General features: G+C 41.6%; 1 protein-coding gene across 10 annotated transcripts in view, besides 1 other annotated feature; it reads left to right on the top strand.

The window, feature by feature from the left end:
• The window catches only part of ATG5 (autophagy related 5), a 141,285-nt gene that overhangs the window by 87,808 nt on the left and 39,783 nt on the right, over positions 1–13,694 (top strand). The gene's annotated exons all lie outside the window — the stretch shown is intronic.
• Positions 7,682–7,882: a silencer, noted in NCBI's record as "peak6001 fragment used in MPRA reporter construct". NCBI's record gives its function as "represses an SCP1 promoter by STARR-seq MPRAs in K562 erythroleukemia cells {active_cell/tissue: K562}" and the evidence as "EXISTENCE:reporter gene assay evidence [ECO:0000049][PMID:32103011]".

The following is a 13,694-nucleotide window of genomic DNA, read 5'->3' as shown; positions in this document are numbered from 1 at the left end:
TTAAATATTGATTAAATACCCAAGAAGAAGTCTTCTTTAGTAAATGTAGAGAAGCTAAGGCTCTGTACTGTGCTTATGTCTTTATGCTCCTCACAATGCCTCTCACAAAATAGGGACTGCATAAATATATAAACTATATGAACAAACTAAGGAAATCCTAACCAACTATATAAGCAGTGATTATTTGGGGCTCGTAATATGATGTACTATAATGTTCATATCATACATTTTATGGAATTCGGGACTGGATTTTCAATTAGGCAATAATTGTTATTTTCTACTATTGCTCTAAAATTGTACAACAAAGTATTATGGGATGTAGAGTGATTTTTAAAATCTGTATTATAGCACTTTATATCTTGTAAAATACCTTTATGCTACCTTGTTTGACTTTCATAACACTTCTGTGGGGTAGACAAGGCAAGTATTATTTTTTAAGTTGGAGGTCAATGACCAGACAAAGGACAGCCAGCCGGTAAGCAATGGAACAAGGACTAAAGTACAAATCTGCCTCAAAATAGTATATACTGCATGTGCATATTATAAAGAAATATCTTTTTTGCAAGAAGATGAATATGTTTATTGAGGTTTTAGCAGTTGCATATGAGATCTTTCATGGGCATAGTTTGGTTCAGTTAATGAAGATTTCATTGGAGCATTGTGTGATTTGAATTTTAAAGGATTAAAGAAATACAGCCCAACTTTCTTTCCTCTTATTGGGTTTAGTTTTGCTTTTATTTAAAATTTTCTTTTTATGTAATGTATTTCATTGTTAACTTTCAAATTATATTTTAAAATTAGTTGGAATCTTAATTATTTAAAAAATTAAATTTGCCTGATTTACCAAAGTAGAACAGTAGGGCTATTTCAGGTACAGTGGATGTGGAGTGGAACATAAAGATATGTTAATAATTTGAGAATTCTTCAAACCAGAGGCTCAAGAATTAGTTTTCTTAGATTTGTGGGTCTAAAAATTAATATATGTTTATATGTGTGTATAGATGTACATGCATGTAGATGTATGTGCATGCATACACATTAACATATTTATTGAGTTCATGCTTTGGGCAAGCACAGTTCTATGTGCTAGTGATACTCATTAGTGAAATAAGCACTGTGTTTGCTTTCATGGGGCATATAATAATAGACTAAGCAAACCAGACATACACAGAGTAAAACAACTTATACAAAAAATGTCTCCACTGTGTTTAATTTTTCATTCCAAGACTGTAGTTTATTCACTTGAGGGAAATAGGCTTACTACCTGAAACTCAGGAAAGCACCTTTAGTTACAAATTTAAGTTAACTATTTCACAAAAGATATAGGAATGGCTAATAAGCACATGAAAAGATACACGATATTGTTACTCATCAGGAAAATGAAAATAACAGTGAGATACTACTTCACGTTCCCTAGATTGGATAAATTAAAAAGGTTGACAGTACTAAAAAGATTAACAAAGTAGTAAAAAGGCTGTGGAGCAAATATAACTCTCATACATTATTAGTAGGAGTGTAAAATGGTACAAATCACTTTAGACAAGAGTTTACCAGTTTCTTTCAAAATTCAACATATGCTTACTTTCTGATCCAACAGTTCTAACAGCTCCACTCAAGAAAAATGAAAATATATGTCCGAGAAAACATTGTACAGAAGTGTTCATAGCAGAATTATTCATAATATCCATCATAATAGCTCAGATATCTGTCAACAGGTAAATGAATAAACAATTGCATTATATTCCTAAAACAGCATACTATTCAGGATTAAAAGGAATAATACATGCAATAATATGGATAAATGTCACAGAACATTACATTGAGTAAAAAGAACCAATACAAAGAGAACATACTCTATGATTCTGTTTTTAAGAAGTTCTAGAACAGACAAAACTAATATGTAGTGACAAAAAAATGATTCTTCTGAGGCCAAGGTCTGGGCCAGGTCAGGAGGGTGTAGTAGAGATGGACCCAACCAGTAAGGGACAAGAAGGAACTTTTAGGGCATGATGGAAATGCCCAATATCTTGTTGAAGGGGTCCTCTTGAAACTGTAACACTGTTACAGTTTGAACTGTATACTTAAAATGTATTCCTTTTATTGTATTAATTTATTCTTCAATTAAGCTATTTTTTTTTTGCAGTTGCAATATTTAATAGAGTGAAGACAGAGAGAGCTCCCATACAAAGGGAGGGGACCCAAAGAAGGTAGCCGTTGCCGGCTTGAATGCCTGGGTTTATATCCCGATCATTGTCCTTCCCGCTGTGCTCTCAGGCGATAGATGATTGGCTATTTTTTTACCTCCTGTTTTTGTCTAATTAGCATTTTAGTGAGCTCTCTTTACTACCTGATTGGTCGGGTGTGAGCTAAGTTGCAAGCCCAGTGTTTAAAGGTGGATGTGGTCACCTTCCCAGCTAGGCTTTGGGATTCTTAGTCGGCCTAGGAAATCCAGCTAATCCTGTCTCTCAGTCCCCCCACTCAACAGGAAAACCCAAGTGCTGTTGGGGAGGTTGGCTGACGACCAGTCTAACTGCTTCCTGCGGAATTGGGGCATAGTAGGGGTTGTGCAGTTGAGATTTCCTCGGGAGGGGTGCGTTCGATATCATTACAATTGGAGCATGGGCTAGTAGGCCGGTCCAGGGGTCCACGGTAGATCTTAGTCATGGACTTCATCTGGGGTTCCATTTGAAGAACGATTTGTAGCTTTACAACTTTGATTCTGGAAGAGACAAACTTAACAAGGAGGTTAAAGATACAGGGTCCAAAGAGGAGTATCAATATTAGAGCTGCTAGAGATCCTAAGAAGGGGAGAATCCAGGGCATCCATTGGCTGAGGAGGCCCCAGGGTCTGGTGTTTTTGAAGCTCCTCTGTTCTACGTTGTATTCAATCTCGAATTTCTTCAACTTTCTCTGTGACAATTCAGGATTGATTAACATAATAACAACATTCTTCCGCTAAAATAACATAATAACAACATTCTTCCCCTAAAAATAAACAGCTTCCCCCTCTTTCAGAGGTTAGCAAGTCTAAAGCTCTTCAATTTTGAAGGACTACTGATGCTAGGAAGTTAAGTTGATCTTGCAAGGTGACCAGGGAGTCGGCAACCCATTCCATGTCACCATTGAGTTCTTGAGATAGTTTGTAGTAGAACTGAGTAGAGGTTGTGGTACCGCCAATGCCAGAACCTAGTCCACCTAGCACTCCTGCTCCGATAACAAAAGGAAGAATGAGTACTCTTTTGTTGTGGGGCTTAGGTACAACATAATTGTATAAATCTTGTTCAGTGTAAATGGTCATGGGGGCACTAAGAATGAGAGGAAGCACATAGATTCTGAAGAGCCATTCAAACAACGATAGGCTAAGGTACCACAGACAAAAAATATTCCTGAGGGTAGGCAGACTATTCGTGTGGGAGGAGTTACCCACCTGATGCATTGGGAGTTGGTTGTGTCTACAGTATTGCTAAATTTTACACAGGTGAGGTTTGAGGTATGGGTTATTTCCAGATTGGAAACAAGAGGTCCTACTAAAACGGAAGTGGTGTTTATTTCTGTGCTGTAGTTGTTCCATTGTTCAGGTACAGGGATTGAAATGCATGGCCTGAAATACAGGGGGAGGCACATCCAACAGTTAGTAGGGTTTTGGGCCGAGACCTCATGGAGCCCAGTGAGGGTGGTATTAAATAGGCTTACCAGGCAAGTATGGGTATGGAGGGTTTCATGTAGTTTTAAGAGATCTAGTCCTTTGTAGGGGCTAGGGGTGCTATGTACCCGGGTCAGTTGGGAGGTTACTTCCTTTACATGTTTTTCTCTTGCCTGATCTTGAACTCCACCCCCCTCAGACATACCAGTATGGGTGAAGTAAGTCCGACAGACAGTGGCTCCAAGTCTTCCAGGACAACTAGGATTAATCATTTTCCCTGTCCAATAATGAGTATTTGCATGCATGCAAAGAGTGGCAGAGTTATAGCAGTTGTGGGGCATATGGGTGTGGGCAGTGAAGGTGGAGTTTCCTTTAGGTAAACTCCTATTTGATGGGGCATCAATATTTCTGGGAAGCCGCATTCTTCATAGAAACTCTTGGTAAGGGGAGCTGCTGGTTGTACAGCAGCATGGAGGGGGTGCAGTGAGAGTGAAAGGGGGTAAGAGAACAGTAAAGAGAAAAATATGATAAGGGAGGGCCATGGGGATTTACGATTTTAGTTACTTTCCTCACGGTTGTCTGACAGCCACAAGTCTCCTTTAGCAGTGAGTATGCCGTTCACGTTATGAGATGTCTACACAGATCTCTTCCTTGTATTATTTTAACTGCTTCAGATACTAAGACTGCTACTGCCGCCACTACCCATAAACAATGAGGCCAACCCTTTGCCACTACATCAATTTCCTTACTCAGGTATGCCATGGGTTGCAAGCTCATCGACCTGTGTAAGGACTCCTAGAGCTATTTCTGTTTTTTTCTGTGACATGTAAAGAAAAGTCTTGCCCCGTTGGCAAGCTAAACACTGGGGCTTGGGTTAGGGCCTTCTTTAGGGCCTGGAAAGCCGCTTCTGCTTCAGGTGTCCATCTTACTAAATGGGTATTGGCTTTCTGAGTTTCCTTAATTAGTGTATATAATGGTCTGGCTATTTCGCCGTACCTGGGAATCCATATTTGGCAGAAACCTGTTATGTCAAGGAATCCTCTTAGTTGCTTTAGGGTTTTGGGATGAGGATAAGCCAGAATAGGCACTGAGGGCCCTGGTGCCTTTGGATAATTTTAGCCCTAAGTATTTAACCTGCTGTGAGCAGAGCTGAGCCTTTGGTTTGGAAACCTTGTAGCCACAGGTAGCGAGAAAATTTAAGAGCACTTGGGTGACTTGATGGCACAAGGTTTCTGAACTGGCGGCTAAAAGTAAAAATCATCCACATACCAAAGGACAAGAGTGCCCAGGTATGAGAACCGGCTCAAGTCTTGGGCTAATGCCTGGCCAAATAGATGGGGGCTATCCCTGAACCCTTGGGGTGAAACAGTCCAGGTGAGTTGAGACATTGGGTTTGAAGGATCTTCAAAGGCAAATAAGAATTGAGAGTCAGGATGTACAGGGATGCAGAAAAAGGCATCCTTAAGGTCCAGGTCTGTAAACCACTCTGCTTCCTCTGGTATTTGGGAAAGCAGAATATAAGGGTTAGGTACAGCTAGGTATAGAGGGACAGTGACCTCATTGATAATCCTGAGATCTTGCACTAACCTCCACTGTCCACTGGGTTTCTGTACTCCTAAAGTTGGATTATTGTAGGGGCTATTGCATGCTTTTACTAGGCCTTGGGCTTTTAGGTCCTTAATCTTTTGGAGTCCTTGTTGAGCCTCGGGTCTAAGGGGGTACTGCCTTTGGTGGGGAAAGGAGGCAGAATCCTTTAGTTTAACTTGAACAGGACGGGCATTCTTTGCTCGTCCATATTGTCCTTCTGTTGCCCAGTCTTCAAGATTAATTCCTTCCTCAAGCAGGGGACAACAAACGGGTGTTCTCCTATGTTCAGGTGTATAATGGCCCCTGCTTTTGCTAGAATGTCTCTCCCTAACAAGGGAGTTGGGCTTTCAGGCATAATTAGAAAAGCATGTGAAAAGAGTGAAGTTCCCCAGTCACAACTTAGTGGCTGGGAGAAGTATCTAGTGACTGGCTGTCCTAGGACCCCTTGGATAGTGACAGCTCTGGAGGACCGTTGTCTGGGACAGGAAAATAAGACTGAGAAGGCCACACCAGTGTCCAGGAGACAGTTAGCCTCCTGGCCGTCAATGGTCAAGCATACCCAGGGCTCTGTGAGGGTGATGGCATGGGCTGGTGCTTGCCCCGGGCACTCTCAGTCCTGCTGCTGGATCATCTGGTTAGTGGCTTCTGACTCAGAGGACCTACGTCCCCTGGGGCAGTGGGCCTTACAGTGATTCCCTTGACACGAGGTGCATGGACGAGGGGGCGGCTTATTTCTATTTGGACAATCTTTTTTAAAGTGTCCTTGTAGACCGCACTGGAAGCAAACCCTATTAGGCATTTGATTTGCCTAGCTTTTCCCTTTTCCAGTGCCTCCAAAGTCCGCTTGCCTGAGGGCCATGACTAAAGCGGTGGCCTTTTTTTTATCCCATTTGTCCCATTCTGCCTGCTCATCCTGATCTCTATTATAAAAAACTGAGGTTGCCAAGTTCAATAGGGTTTCTAAGTTTTGTTCCGGGCCTAAGGCAGACTTTTGAAGTTTTTTCCTAATGTCTGTAGCTGACTGAGTGATAAACTTATCCTTTAAGATTAGTTGGCCTTCAGTAGAGTCAGTTGACAGAGAGAGGTATGCTTCCTCAATGCCTCCGTTAGTCACTCCAGAAAGGCGGTAGGATTTTCTTCCTTTCCCTGTGTTATAGTGGACATCATTGAATAACTCACAGGCTTCTTTCTAGTTTTCCTTAGTCCTTCTAGCACGCAAGTTAGCAAATGTCTGCGGCACCAATCTCCATGTTCTGATTCTGTGTCCCAGTGAGGGTCTACACTGGGAACTGCCTGCTGGCCTGTGGGGAATCGTTCTCTTTCCTCTGTTGTCGACCTATCATTGACCTGACTGAGATACCAGAGATCGCCAAACTCTCAGGCTGCAGTTACGGCGACACTTCTGTCATTTGGGGTTAGTGTCTGATTTAGCAGTAACATTATATCTCTCCATATCAGATCAAAGGATTGTCCTAAACCTTGTAAAACATCAATATAGCCATTAGGGTTATCTGAGAATTTACCTAGGTCTATTTTAATTTAAAGTCTGAGAGAGAAAAAGGTACGTGCACTCTGGCTGGGCCGAATTCTCCTCCCACCGCTTGGAGGGGGCATAATCGGGGAATATTGGCATTCTTTGGTTAGTTGTTTACCCCTTTGTCTATCTCCTTTTGGACCGTTTGGGTTGAAGGGGGGTCCTTATTATTTGGGGAAGGAGTCTGGGGGATGCTGGGGTAGGGAGGTAGACTCTGAGGGCTTCCTGTAGGGCATAAATCACACTTTTTACATAATTGCGAGTTGTCTCTTAATGAAAAGAAAGTTTGTACGTATGACACTTCACACCATTTGCCTTCTTTTCTACAAAAGAGGTCTAGCTGTAAGATGGTGTTATAATTTATGCTTCCCTCAGGATGCCAGGTTTCTCCCCCTTAAAGAGTATATCGTTGCCAGGCGGTACTGCAGAAGAATATGTCTTTTTTTTCTTAGCATCTGAGAGTCAAATTGGTCCCAATTCTCCAGAATACATCTTAGGGGTGTTTTTGCCTTGAGGGGAACGTTTCCTATCTGAAAAAAGAACATAGGGATGCCAGCACCACTAGTCATTTTCCGATGAGCATTAGTCCTAGAGCGTCCTCTATGGTCCTAATGCTTATTCCTTTCCGGGGTGTGTAACCACCCATGGACCTCTGCTTATCGGATTAGTTATGCTCACTGATGTAGCAGCCCTCACCCCTTTTCCCGCCTTTCTTGATCACAAAGAAAGGGGTCCGGGCTGCTGGATTCTAGTGGTCCTTTACCAGCGTGCCCAACATTGCCTTTGTGCTCAGGGGTGAGTCCTAGAGCTAGGCTGAGTTCCTGAGTATTTCATAACAACCCAGCTGCTCCATCAAGATGCATTCCCATAAACAACAGTTCTTAGGCAAATTCGTTTCAGAGAGGGTATAAGTAAGCTTTTGAGTCAGGATTGAGATAGTCTTTTTGATTCGGTAAGTACGTTAAGGCTTGGCTGAGTGCAAACAGCTCTGACATTTGAGGAGACCAATTATTAGGCAATTTTTCTAACTCTGCTTCCACAAGAGTCTCCCTATCAATTACTGAATACCCATTGTGGTTTTTTCCTCAGTCATTTGGGAGGAACCATCTATCATCCTGTCCTGAAGGGAGTTCCTCCTAGGTCTGGTCGGACCTTTGTATGGTAATTAAGATTTAAATCCCCTGTAAGGAAATCTGCAGGGTTAAGGGAATTATCAGTGGTTAGTGTTAAATTACCTTTTTCTGACAGAATAGCCCCATACTTTAATATTTTTGAGTTAATAAGCTACCTTTTTGCTTTTTTGACTTAGAATAATTCTGAACCGGTGAGGTGTGCTCACAATGAGGTTTCCTCTAAAAGTTACTTTTCTACTTTTTTCTGTTAGCAAAGCAGTTGCCGCTACAGATTGAATGCATTTGGGCCATCCGCAGGTCACTGGATGTTAAGGATTTTTGATAGGAAGGCTATGGGTTGTCAGTGGTCTTAGTGTTTTCAGGCTACGCCCTTGTTTACGCTGACAACAAGGTAGTATTGGAGTGTTATAGGGTCGCGGAGAAGACCTTCAATTATCAATTATAGGTTTTACATTTACCCTGGCTTTTAAAGGAATAGGGCACACTGTTTTTTTTTACTATTTCTATCTTTGTCTTTCTTTCTCTGACTCCCTGTTTGTCTCTCTGCCTCTTTCTCCTCTTTGTCTCTCTCCCTCTCCTCTCTGTCTCTCTCCCTGTCCTCCCTGTCTCTCTCTCTCTCCTCTCTGTCTCTCTCTCTCTCTGTCTCTGTCTGTCTCTCACTGTCTCTTTCTCTCTGTCTCTCTCTGTTTCCTCTCTTAGCCATTTACAAACTTGGGGCCCTGGCAAGGGTGGTGGGGAACAGGTCCCACATAACTGCCCATGTCTAGAGCTGTATACCTAAATCAGGAGGGACACCAGGGACAAGACTCCCTGGGTTTATAGCCTAGATGCCTAAGGGCGCAGCATAGAGCTTCCTTAGATCCCTTTGGAGATACAACTTGCTAGAGGAAATGAAAGTCTCAACCATTAGTACCTAGGAGGCAGGGATCAGAGGAAGTAGATTCAGAGGTAAGGAGAATTTTGGGGCTACACTTTCAAGAAAGTCGTGGTTGGGACCCAGGAGGTGTGGGACAGAAGGGAAGGTAGGAGCGCACGCATGGGCGACTGTTGAGTAGAGACTTCTGGCTGCGACATGATCTCAACCGGCTAATGCCGGGAGTTCGGGACGACAGCTTTCTGCCTCTAGTCAGCCCTTGGCTTCCCCAGGAAAATTGAAAGTGGAAGCTGGCTCCAGGCAGACCAAGGTTCCCAACCCAGAAGGGTTGAGGGTTGTTAGAAAGCCCTTCCCCAGATAGCCTCATACCTGAGTCTAAAGTCTGGCGGCCATGCTAATCGTTTTTAACCGGCCGACAGGTGCCCAGTATTTTCCTCCAATTCTAAGGGATAGGCCAGAGTAGCAAGCAAAAGTGGTCCAATATTACCGCTTTGGAGATCCCTTCATGGTTGCGGGTTCAGGTCCCTTTGTGGTCGCCAAATTGTTACCAGGGGGTCCTTGCTCCCAGAACTCCGAAGATGGTGGCGGGCTGCTTCTAAGATGATGGCAAGCCTCGTGTTCTCTGACCTGGGGTTCTTGGCCTCATGGATTCCAATAAATGGAATCTTGGGCCACGCGGTGAGTGTTATAGCTCTATTAGAAGCCACGGGTCACAGAAGAGAACCGTGGAACCCAGTGACTAGTGTTCAGCTCAATTAGGATGAACCCGGGCACTTAGCCGCGTAGGAACAATGGCAAGTCTTTAGCCCAGTCGGGATCGGCAATGGGCGTCTCACTGGATCAGGAGCACAACGGACACCCTGCTAGATCCAGAGGGATGGAAGTCAGTGGCAGGCCTGCGATGGCGGCAAACAGCAGTGGTGGATGGAGAGTGAAAGCTCAGCTCGAGCCGTAACAAACACGGACCAGAAGAGTGCAGTTGCAAGATTTAATAGAGTGAAAACAGAGCTCCCATACAAAGGGAGGGGACCCAAAGAGGGTAGCCCAATAAAGCTATTTTCTAATAACCAAATAGTTTATGGACTGGTGAAACTCCTGAAAGTTTTTTGTGGGATAATTGCACCCAAGCTGTAAAATAATCAGTTTAAGCCCCTCCTTGTTAGATTAGGTTCTTACGATATGCTTAGGTTCTGAGTTGTTTTATTTCCCTGTTTGTTTTACCTTAAGCTTTTTTACAATTCATTGCTGCCTGGTTTGAGTTGGTTCCTTATTCCTTCTCCTTCAAGTTGAATTACAACTAGTAATTGCTTGCCTAACTTTACCTGATAAGATTTTATATCCTGTTCTGTATTCTGTATTTCAGTCATCAGTTTGTGCTCATAGCTTGACAATAACCAGAACAGTGCAAGAACAGTTACAGTATTATGTGTAGTTATCAAACAAGGCTGTCTTAATTTTCTTACATTCCTAAATACTAAATTATTTTCTATGGTATTGATCTACAGTCTTAAGCACCTTCAGAGCTTCAAGGTACTGATCATTTCTTGAAGTGCAGTTTTTCTGCATGTAGTTTTTGGTTGACATTTTTTCTTTATAGAGACAGGGTCTCCACTGCAAGAGTGCAGTGGCACAGTCATAGCTCACTGCAGCCTCCAACTCCTGGGCTCAAGCGATCTTTCCACCTTAGCCGCCTGAGTAGCTGGGACTACAGGTCCACACCACCACATTCAGCCAATCTTTTTATTCTTTGTAGAGACAGAGCCTCTTTCTGCTGCCCAGGCTGGTCTTCAACTCCTTGCCTCAAGTGATCCTCCCACCTTGGCCACCCAAAATACTGAGATTACAGGTGTCCACCAGCATTCCAGGTCCCAGACATTCTACTTCTTTCAGTGCTTTGATTATGTCATCTGATTGCCTATTGACAACATCATTTCTGATGAGAAATTTGTTATTAATCTGAAGATGTTTTGTACATAAGTCCCTTGCCTGTTTTGAGAGTCTCTCTTTATATTTCAGTCATTTGATTATGATGTACCTAGGTGTGGATCGCTTTGATTTTATTCTTTTTAGTTTGTTTATCTTCTTGGATGTGTAGATTAATTTTTGGGGTCAAGTTCGGGAAGTTTAGGGCCATTATTTTTTCAGATACTCTGACCCTTTTTCTGCATCTTCTTCTGGGCCTCTCATTATATGTATATTGGTATGCCTGATGGTGTCTCTTGGGTCTCTGAGCCTCCTTTCCTTCCTTCCTTCCTTCTTCCCTCTCTTTCTCGCAATTGACCTATCTTTAGATTTGCTGATTCATTCTTCTGGCTGCCCAAATCAGCTGTTGAGCCCCTCAAGTTAATTCAGTTTTTGTGCTTTTCAACTCCAGAATTTTTGTTTGGTACTTTTTTGTAACTCCTATTTATCTCTATAATTTCTATTTCTGTTTGGGAATGATACATGCAACAACATGGATAAATCTCACACAACATTGTGTTGAGTAAAAAGAGCTGATATAAAGAGAATATACTCTATGATTCTGTTTTTAAGAAGTTCTAGACCAGACAGAACTAATCTGTAGTGACAAAAAGTGGTTCTTCTGAAGGATCAGAAATATTGTTCTGATACTTTCCTGTAGTTCTTTAGATAAACTTTTTTTTAGTTCTTTGCGCATATTTAAAATAACTCTCTTAAAGTCTTTGTCCAGTAAGTCCAGCATCTGGTCTTTTTCAGGGCCAGTTTCTGCTGCTTTTTCCCCCCAGTTTGTGGCTTATACTTGTTTCTTTGCATGTCTTTGTAATTTTGTTGTTGTTGAGACCTGAATATTTTATATAGTATAACAGAATAACTCTGGAAACCAGATGCTTCCCCCCTTTCCCAAGGTCTGTTTTTGTTGTTGCTGTTGCTTGTTTAGTTTCTTTCCTGAACTAATTCTTTCAGGTTTTTATTTTTTATCACACAGGCCCCTAAAGTTACTGCTTGGTGAGTTTAGTGATCATCTGATGATTAGAAGAGATTTTCTTGAATGCCTAGAACTAGAGTATCTTCCAATCTTTGCCAGGGGCCTATGTGTGAATGTTGGGGCATTGCCTTCAATGATACGGCAAGCAATTTATAACTGGATTTTACTTTCTTCTTGTACAGAGCCTCAGGGTTTCCCATAGGTGAGAGTTTAGGGCCTTCGTAGATGTTTTTTGAGCGTGTACACAGCTCTATACATGTGTATGGCTTTCTGGATTATCAGAAATATGTTAGAACTTTTCAGACCCCCTTTGGATTTCTTATTTCCCAGGTTTTTCTTTTAATTTTTTGGTTAGCTTGTTTGTCCCATCTGTTATTGCTATCTCATGGCAGATGTGATGTTTAACAATTGCCACTGATTTTCCACAAACTCTCCTGGTGATAAAATTGTTTGCACTGAGTGAGCTCTGAGTCAAGTCAAATAATGTCCTATGAGGGAGGTTTTTCTAGGGAACTGGCAGATCAAATAATGACAGTTTTCTGAGAGTGGGGCTTTTGAAAGATTTCAGAAAAAGTTCATTTTGAGAATTTTTGTGTTCTTGTTGCTTTTATGGAGGAGAGTATATTCAGGGTCCTCACTCTGCTATTACTGATGATATCACCACTTTAATGATTCAACCTCAAGTTTGGATAAATGGATTTTGTTGAAATTTGGGGAAGAGAATAAAAACTGAGGTGTTTTTTAAAGTTTTAAAAAATGTATTCTTTCTAATTATTTATAAAATATAAAAATTTCAACTCAGTATATTGCTTAAGAACATGAGTATTGCAATAGATGATCAGTGATTGCTTTCTGTAAAAGTTACATATCCTTGATTATTTTGGAAATTTTTATCTACATAGGTTTTCCGATAACCTTGAAAAATCTGAATGAATTGAATCTTTGACATGCATCAGTATAGCATGTGGTTAAGATTGAGAGCTTTTGATTTAGGCAGTTCTGAGTTTATATTCCAGGTAACTAGGTGATTTGGCTCGTTCACCTTACATCTCTGGGCCTCCATTTTATAATCTGTAAAATAGGGTTATTGTGAAAATTAGAGGTAATACCTTTAATAAACTATTGTGCCTGGCACATAATAAATTAAATTGCACACTATAGCTGGAATTATTAGATGTTATTGACTTAAATCATTATAATTTTGCTGTGAGTTATTTTAACAGCAATGATGATGGCTTGTCATGCCTCCTGTATTCTTTTGTTTTATGACCAGTGGAACATATCTGGTGAATAGCTCACTTTTTTAATTGATGTATTTCTGTGTTTTGTTTTGTTTTGTTTGTTTGTTTTTTGAGACAAGAGTTTCGCTCTTTTTGCCCAGCCTGGAGTGCAATGGTGCGATCTCAGCTCACTGCAACCTCCGCCTCCCGGGTTCAAGCGATTCTCCTACCTCAGCCTCCTGAGTAGCTGGGATTACAGGCATGCACCACCACACCTGGCTAATTTTGTATTAGTACAGACAGGGGAGACAGGGTTTCTCCATCTTTGTCAGGCTGGTCTTGAACTCCTGACCTCAGGTGATCCGCCCACCCAGGCCTCCCAAAGTGCTGGGATTACAGGCATGAGCCACCGCACCTGGCCGTATTTCTGGTCTTAACATAGTTCTTCTCTGTGAGGTTCTAACTGGTCCCACCAATCTACTTCCATTCACTACCAAATACATAATCTACTTCTTCTGTTTCAGTGTCCAGTTTCCTCTTTCTTTACTTTTCTTCAAGTTACCAGGTCAATACTTTGGAATAACTCTTTTGATCACTTTTGTTGAGTTGCAGTTCTAATGGACCAGAACTGTCTTCATTTATTCCCTTCTTGCCATTTGCACTGATTTAGCTCATGGGTCCTTTATCTTCTAGATGAACTATTTTAGTGGTTCTTAGATTTTTCTACCTGCTTTTTCTCCCTCCATTCTGTTGAGT

The sequence above is a fragment of the Homo sapiens genome, chromosome 6, assembly GCF_000001405.40.
Source record: "Homo sapiens chromosome 6, GRCh38.p14 Primary Assembly".
Taxonomy (NCBI): Eukaryota; Metazoa; Chordata; class Mammalia; order Primates; family Hominidae; genus Homo; species Homo sapiens.
Note: the sequence above shows the minus strand (reverse complement) of the source record. Positions and strands in the feature narration are given on the sequence as shown.